General features: G+C 35.6%; 1 annotated feature.

Moving 5' to 3' along the window:
• Nucleotides 5,992–7,606: an enhancer, noted in NCBI's record as "VISTA enhancer hs170". NCBI's record gives its function as "enhancer in: forebrain[5/6]" and the evidence as "EXISTENCE:transgenic organism evidence [ECO:0001131][PMID:17130149]".

Here is a 9,481-nt window from a genome sequence, read left to right on the forward strand (position 1 = left end):
AATATGCTGGCCCATGCGACCTTTTACTCTCATTTACTTATACTCTTAAAAAGTCGGTAGTCCCAGGTTTCAAATTTTCTTTTGTAATACACAGTTAAATCTTTGAACTCGAATATTGAATAAACTCTTGAATGACTTTGAGCTCTGGATGCTGAGCTTGGTAACCTTGAACCTCCCATAAATTGGGGAAAACCTCTAAAGCAGCCAAAACAAAGCTCTTGACTTTCTAAATATAACATTTGTTTGACTCCTTGACTTAATTGTGAACTCTTGTTTTTCCTTGACTGGTTTGCCACTATCATTTGAAGTTAACCTTTTCTCTACTTAGTTGAAAATTGTGCTTCAATGGATTAAAAGACAAAATTGCATTCCTTCTAATTAAATCTAAGAAAATCTCTAAGATGTGCCTTGAAAAAACAAAAACACATGTGAATGTTAATTTTCCTAACTTATAATCAAGGATAATGAATCCTCCCTTTAACTATTTGTCCTCCTTTTCAGTCTGACAATAAATTCAGTATGTTATTTAAGTTCTAACTTCAGTTCTTTAGTTTTTATCTCATCAATCTTCATCTTTATTTTTTAGTCTTTAAAACCTATTTTTCATTTTGTGGCATTTAAAACTGAGAAAGTTACACATGCTTTTTGTAACAAAACCAATCAATATAGGATTGTGTAAAACAAAAAATAAAAGCTGGGTGCAGTGGTTCACGCCTATAATCCCAACACTTTGGAAGATTGAAGTGGGAGGATCATTTGAGTCCAGGAGTTTAAAACCAGCCTGGGCAACATAGTGAGACCACGTCTCTATAAAAAATTTGAAAAATTAGCCGGGTGTTGTGGCTTGGGCTTGTGGTCCCAGCTACTCAAGAGGCTGAGGTGGGAGGATTGCTTGGGTCGCAGGAGGTCGAGGCTGCAGCGAGCTGTGATCATGCCACTGCACTCCAGCCTGCAAGACCTGAGAGACAGAGTGAGACTGTCTCAAAAAAGAAAAAAAAAAAGAGAAAAGAAAGCTCTTTTGCACTTCTCTTAATCCCAAATCACTTTATAGAGGTAATTATTATACAATTTGGTAATGGAATGGTTTTCATGTTCTATACAGTTTACTCCATATGCAAACATACACATACTTACATATACTCTTACAAGTTGTGTTTTAAAATTACTATATTATATGCAGCAAAAATAAACACTATTAATAAGTGAATGATGAATTGTTAATGAATGCTAGATAAACATCATATTATATGTCTCATGAGGTACTTGAATATTTTTAAATTATGGCTACAGGCCGGGCACCATGGCTCACGCCTGTAATCCCAGCACTTTGGGAGGCAAGGCCAGCAAATCACAAGGTCAGGAGTTCAAGACCAGCCTGGCCAATATGGTGAAACCCCAACTCTACTACAAATACAAAAATTAGCTGGGCGTGGTGGCGGGCTCCTGTAATCCCAGCTACTTGGGAGGCTGAGGCAGGAGAATCGATTGAACTCAGGAGGTGGAGGTTGCAGTGAGCTGAGGTTGCGCCATTGCACTCCAGCCTGGGCGACAGAGCGAGACTCAGTCTCAAAAAATAAATAAATAAATAAATAAATAAATAAAGGCTACAGTATTGGAAAAAACTTGTTTCCTTCTCCTTTTTGTATTATAGTGCGTAAGTAAAATATCTTTTTAAACTTTTACAAAAATATTTAATAGTCACATAAAAATTTGTTCAGACAAACAGTAACAACTGATAATTTGTATTACTTTTCTTTTTCAAAAAGATTGCTATTAGGTATTTTGTACTTAATAGTTATAAACTATTCAAGTGGGCCGAAAATGTAAATGAAAAAAATACAGCAGTAATAAGAGGAGTACAAATGAAAATTTCCTCAAATCGTGTTAGCATTTTTAACATGTTATTTATTGATTCTCTTTCTAAATAGACCATTCTGACATTACATAATTTTAAGTACAGATCCAGTACATTCTACTGCACCACTTTCTATAAAAGAACATAGAAATAATGTGGGCTCTGTGTTTTTGCCAGCTATGAACGAATTACATCCATTTGGTTTATACCCTACATGTAGTATCTCTTTAGGACTTATTCTATGTATATCAAAACACTAATTTTGAAGCAGTAACCCTGTAAGTGCTGTGGGTTCATAACATACTGGGTGTCTTGAAACCAAATATATATTCAGTTCTCAGCATTATTGGTGTTTCCAATTTCAATAACTATAATATGATCACCTTTGGACATCTATGGCATCTTTCATCCGTGGATCTTAAAGGGCTTTACAAACATTAATTCACACAACATTCTCATGAGGTACAGAAATATCATTAACCCCATATTACAGATGAGGAAACAAGCGCAGAAAGGTTAATAATATGTGCACCACCTTCTACTTGTACAGTGCCTTTGATTCAGGAATTTCTAAGTACACTGGAAGCTTTATGATGCTGGTATAAGAGAATAGAATTAATACAACTTATAGATTAATTCATAGCATACTTTTATCATATAGCATGCAGTTTGTAGAAATTGCCTCCATATTATAGATTGATAATATTCATCTTATATTCAAATAGTTTTCCATTATAATTAGGAATCATGAATGCGAACTTACCCTTAATTTTATATCTAGTTTGAAGATGTGTGTGGATGATTATACTACATATGCAACAGACTATATAAAATTGTGTCTTGTGTTAAAAAAAAAGAAACCTCAAAATTAATCTAACACACGATGACATGGTTCCCAAGTTTGTTGCTCTATGCTTTTTAGGCATCAGTGGTGAGTCATTTATATTAAAAACAGTAAATAAATAATTTAATTTTTACCATGTATTTTTATAGTTTTCATCTTCTTTTTTAATCTTTTCATGTATAAACTAGTTTTAACCCTACAATGTAGAGTTCAGACCTCAAAACTCACAAGTTGCACTACGATTCACTATGGTTACAAAAACAAGGGACTTAGATGTGAGTTACCCAAAGCCAGAGTTTTCTTTATCACTGATTTTTCTTCCTAAAATCATTAGAGCTCAGGTTTTCAGTGCATCTTCATATATCTTTCCCTTTCTCATTCTTTTCACTGTTGGAATTTACTAAGAAATCCTTTAGTATTTCCCTGCTTTTGCTTGCCACCACCTTCTTAGAAAGATTGTTTATGGCTTCTGTGTCCTAAAGAGCTCAAGGTACTGTGCTGTGCACTGGGAATACAGGGGTATACAAGACAGATTGACTTAAAGCAGCTTAGAGTCTGGTGGAGATAGACATTGGACAAGAAATTATAATCGCATTAATTACATGACCATGCAAAATCTCTGTGAAACAAATCTATAAATGGTTAACCCGGAGGCTGACAGCACAATTGTCACTTAAGAGGGAAGAAATGAACTTGTGAGTCTATTATAGTTCCAGTTCAAGGGAAAATAAAATACCTTGATTACTTGATTATTGTTGATAGATTCTGAAACATGGATTGCTGGAGTACAGACCAGCTGGGATGGGGACTTGTACTTATTCATACAGGAAAGGCTTTATGTCTGAGACATAAAGTATCCTGACATACCTCAGAAGTGCCTAAAATTTGCTTTTAAAAAAGCTGGGTGGGATGCTTGCATAAAAATACAGGTAACTGATATATCAGAAAGAAAGCTCATATAAGAGAAAAAAATATTTTTGCTTTTCTTTTCCCTTCACTATGCATGCATACTCATATATATCTCTCCCTGCCAATACCGTTACTTCTGCCGCTGCACACTCTCTTCCTTCATCAGAGCTTTCTGGAAATCTCTGTAAATCTTTATTTCATCTCTTCCTTCTTTAACCTGATCTAGCAATGAGGAACTGGTGCTGAATGTTCTTGGACTTTTTTTTTTTTTTCTTTAAATAATTGGCTTACCTTCATGCCTGAGCAGGGAAAAACTACTAAAGAAGAAAAGAAGTTTCCAAAAATGTGATTGTGAGCACCAATGCAATTTTGCCTCAGGCCAGCACACTTTACCTCAATGGTAAACAAGCATACTTGGGGTGACATGTACGTACACGTATGTTGAACAGAATACTGCTCACAATATATTTTGTTGAGAGGTGGCAAGAATATCACCATTTATGTACCTGAGATTTTTACAGATGGGTACACAGATTTTACATGTTATGCTTAATCTCAACAAATTAAGTCAAAAGCCGTATTTTTTTTTAAAGGATAGCTCCTCAGTATTGGCCTGATATCATCTGTAGGCTGAGCTGTTTCTAATGTGATAGAAGTTAAGCCTTGCGCTCCCTTATGGGATTTTACAAACATGTTAAGTAGGCAAAAGAAAGAAAGATTGATGAATAGGACTAAAGTCATACAGCCAGAGAGAGATGGAAACAGAAACAGATTTAGTTTGCATTGCTATTCTCTATATAAATGGAACTCAATCCCAAAACGTGGTTCAACATGCAGACTTTAAAATCAGACCTGAATTCAAACCCTATTGTAGCTACTCAAACATATTCATCCTAGTGCAATTTATGTCAACTCTGAGCTTCCATTTCTTCATCTTTAAAATAGAGTTAAAATTACTTTATATAGGATCTCAGAAGCTTAAAGTATAAGTGCATGTGATAAATAACCCCCAAGGAAGTTATCTTTACCATTTCCCACTTATATGAAACCAAATAGCAGGTATATAGAAATACCAATCTTATTCCTCTGGTTATACAAGGGGTCTCAAAATGAATAGGATAAATTCCAATTTATAATTCCTAATCCAACTCACCAGAATAAAATGAATGACTGGGTCCTAAATAATCCTTTGTCACCATATTTATTATCAATACATTAGTATATGGGATATTTGTAACTGATTTATATTATTGATTTATTTTATTTTATTTATTTTTTTTGAGATGGAGTCTTGGTCTGTTACCCAGGCTGGAGTGCAGTGGTGCAATCTCGGCTCACTGCAACCTCTGCCTCCCAGGTTCAAGCCATTCTCCTGCCTCAGCCTTCTGAGTAGCTGGAACTACAGGCACGCACCACCACGTCCGGCCAATTTTTGTATTTTTAGTAGAAATGGAGTTTCATCATGTTGGCCAGGCTGGTCTTGAACCCCTGACTTTAGGTGATCCGCCTGCCTCGGCCTCCCAAAGTGTTGGGATTACAGGCATGAGCTACCGTGCCTGGCCTAGATTTATATTATTTATTGATCCAACCTAATGAATCCTGATATTCCATATTTGAATCATCTTATAATATATTTTCATTTTTAGGAAATGTAAATTACTTACCCAAGGTCACACAGCTTGTCCATGGTAAAATGCAGAAAAGTTTAAGTCTTATGACTTCTAATCTAGGGCCTTACCTACCAGATCACACAGCTTTTGAACACACTTAACAGGTTTATCATTCTCTAAGCTTAAGAAAAACCTCACTAATATCATTAGAACATTCCAGGTCTTCTTTTCCATATTCATTTATGTACACGGATCAGCTCATTCTTTTCAAATGCCAGGGATGTATTGCTCACTGGAGGAACTCCGGTACCCAGCGGTCTTTAATGTAAAAGGCAAACCTTTCCACTAATGAGCAGTTTGTCTAGTGTTCTTAACCTTATCAGCAGCTCCTCAAGTGATAAAGGCTTAACTATTATGCACCGAAAGGTGTTTATAATTCTCAATCTTCATGCAGAAAATGGCTCTTTTGTCACTTCTTATAGTCTACTGTTAAACTTAGCATACTGCTTACAAATTACCTTTCCTGTTCGGCAAAGCAGTCAGCTGGAAGTATTGGTGGGCCGGCAGCAGGTGGAGCCTCCTCCTGTCAGGACAAGAATGATACCTGCTGCTTAATAGAAAAAGAACCATCTGCAGTTTAATGATGTAGACCTGTCCCAGGAAATAGACTGGGTTTAAAGACAAGGTAGAGGGAAGAACATTTTTTTCAAAATAAGAAAAATGAGGTTGACTATTAAAGACTGTACAAATAGAACTGAAGGCTAGAGGTTTTACCAACGGAAACATTAGTGCATAGTGACTAAAATGATTTTATTCCTTTGCTACTGGAATTCCCTAAAGTACAGTGGGGCCTATAGAGCCAGCCCACAGCTCATAGGGCCTTTCCTCCATCAGCTTCTGGAATGAAGAATGCAGGAAAACATTGTCTCCATGTTGCTGCAAGAGAAACAATAAAAGCTTGATCAGCTGAATGCTTAAATATGGCTGAATGTTTGATGAGATGAAGATGTAATTTTGTCTATGTTCCCTAAGGATCTGGATTAAATATGACTACAGGGCCTAATCAAATAGCTAGTCACTGAACAACGGTCCCAACTGCATTTTTCATTCTAGGCATGCCTTTCTTTCCCCCCCTCCTCCAAGTACATTACTTATTCACTGGTTTGTCAGCAGTGTGCATTATTAGCGCTTGAGAGATAAAACTTTAAGTGTTGCTCCCAATTAGCACAACAGTGACCACGCACCATGCTCTGTGCTTAATGCCTGCTCTCAGAGAGGAGCTGGTTTTGAAGGTCTGAGGTGGAGGAGAAAAAAAATGAAACAGCTTAAGCATTCATTTTGAGTGGAGAGACAGCTCCTATTAACATTTAACAGCATTTGTGCAACTTGGTGCGGAGGTTATGATGCAAATGAGGAGGAATTAAAAGTGGCCAGGGGTTTGTCATTGATGGATTGCAGTCTGGCGGTGTTCACACTTCTGCCGTGTCCATCAGAAGCGATTACTGTGTAATTAAACCTTATTTCTCTACTCTTCAGTGCATAATTACTTTGTGAATGTAACCATCATCTAAAAAAGCTACCAAAATGCTTTAGCATTTAGTCTAGCAGTCATTTCCCTAGCTTGTGTCAGATATAACCATCAGACAGTGCAAAAGAACTGTCACTTTTAATAAGAGGCAAAAAATTAAATGAAACAGTATGCTTATTACAGGAAAATTAGGCGTTCAAGTGGTAGAGTCCTTTTCTGCTATTTGCATAATTTATTCTTTTTTGTCCCTCACACCAGCAGCTTCAGGCAATTTTCTTCACATTTAAATAGATCGCACATTTAAGGCTACTTAAGGAAAATTATCACTTTGCATATTTTAATTGTTGTAAAGAAAGTGAATAGAAGAGGTCTGCAGCTTGGACTCTTGAGTCGGTCAGATGCTCAACTGTCTGATTCTGGAGCTCCCCACTGCTGCACTAGAGATAACCCTATAGTTCACAGCTATCCACTTGCATTTCATCAGCATGCAAATGCAGCTCCAAGCACTACAATAAATGGATCTTTGATATTTACAAACTAGCCATTAATAACTAAAACATAATTTGTTTGACATAACTTTAGATTCTCTTATCACTGTGCCTTCTTTTTTTTTCTTTTTCAGAGAAAAACCTAAGTCTTTAACGTTTAGAAAAACTGAGACAGTCCACTCAAACTGAGTCATGTTCTACAGGTTCCAGAAATATGATTTGCTACAAAATTATGTCAGTTCCATTATGTTGGCAAGGCAGCCAACATTTCAAGTTCTTTTGTTTAATTTGGACTCACTTTTATTCAAATAAAAAATTCAACAAAAAACTCTTTCCCCCATAAGAATTATAGCAAGCCAATGGTGTTTCAAATGAATGATTCAGTTACCAAGGGAAGCATGTAACATTTCAGTATGCTTGTGTTGTAATTCAAAAAGATGAGAGCAACAGCACAGGGCATTGCAGAGCAACCGCTGTAAATAGGCTAATGCCTGTACAAACTGTTAATTATGAAACTGGTGAAAAGTTAAAAGGAGATTCCAGTGAAAACTTTGATCAAAACATACTCGGCTTATTTATTGTACTTAAGTGGGTTAAAGAATCTCAGTGGTATAATTTGCTTAGTTTTCATTACCAATTAAAAAAAATTCCAAAGAGACAGAAAACTGAAGTCTTCATTTTGACAAGACAGAAATGCTTTAAAGTATATTCAAATGTGAATCCGATTAACTCAGCAACAGTTTTAATTACAAACAATTATATGTTCCCTTTGGCTACTGGTCATTTTCATTTATAATGCCATTGTCCTCCTTAAGTGCAAACTCTAAACACTAATGAATGTCTGAGGGACTACAGTTAGCACACATTTGTAGACACTAAGCAAACATTTGTCTTTAAAAGTAAGTGAAGTAGGACTTAGTTTACAGAAACTATCAGTGTGGGGCAAAGCAACATAAAATAGCACGTTATAGGGACTGACAAAAAGTGAGTATAAGATATGAATTTGTAACTTAGAAAGGAATCTACTCATTTTGACATATTTATTCTTTAAGCTGTGAAATGTAGTACAGCATTATTTAGAAAGGCAGTACAAGGTTTTTCTTCCATCAGAACAATATTTTCTAAATGTATATTTTTGCTTATTATTTTTTACTTAAAATACTTAATGGAAAAAATTGTGTAAATTCTGAAAAAGATAAAAAAAATTGAAAAGATCTTTACAATTTCCCAGAAGCAACATACAGCTGAAGTCATATTTGATTCTAGCATAGTACGTAGAAAGGAAACAAATTATTTCTGGTAGCATTTTTTGCATCACTGACTACTTGGTTAAATCAATTGACTTAAAATTTTCCATTTGGGTTTTCTTCTTTTCCTCTTTTTTGGAGGTGAGTTTTAACTGTGCTGCCTTAACACACACTTAAAAGAGGAATCACACATACCTTTTGACTCTGCTGACCCTTCATGCTCCCTCCAACTCCCATCATTTCTAAAATGAAAACAACCACAACAACTGATCTCTCAAGTTAGCTGAATATATCAGAGAATCAAAGGCAGTAATGCAGATTTCTCAACATAATATCCTGTTTACCTTTACTATGGAATTGCTTTTTTGTTAAGTTGCTTCCTTCTAGGAAATGGAGATAATAATGTACCTAACTCAAGAGGAACATGGTGGGGAATAATTGCAAGTAAAGTTGGCACACGGCTCTGCAGAATATACCTAATACATGTAGACTGTTTTCACTACAGAAAAAGAAAAAAAAAATCAAACAACTATAAAAATTTGACTAAGAGTATCAGTCTGATAGGTCAAACCTGAAGTCCAAAAAATTCTGCCAGCCCATACAGTATATTATGTCGCTCTCGTCTTTTAAAGACAACTATCATAGATTCTGAAAAGTGCCTAACAGTAGTCTCCATGTTTAGTCTCTGTGACACATATATTTGGTCAACTGAGACTTTAGGCAAATGTGGTATCATGGTAAAAAAAAAATACAGCATTTTGAGTCAGTAGAACTGAGTTAAAATTCTTACTTCATTTACTGTCTTTTCCATTTTAGATACATTGCTAAGCTTCAGTTTTCTCCTCTGCAAAATGAACATTTACTTGACAGGGTTGTCGAAAAGATTCATTGAAATAAAGCGCTTAGCACTGTGCCAAGTCCCTAATAAATGTCTGGAAATATTAACTGTTGTTCTTATTACTATAAATATGGCATCGTATATTCACCTTTTTATATATCA

This window comes from Homo sapiens, chromosome 2, assembly GCF_000001405.40.
Source record: "Homo sapiens chromosome 2, GRCh38.p14 Primary Assembly".
NCBI lineage: Eukaryota > Metazoa > Chordata > Mammalia > Primates > Hominidae > Homo > Homo sapiens.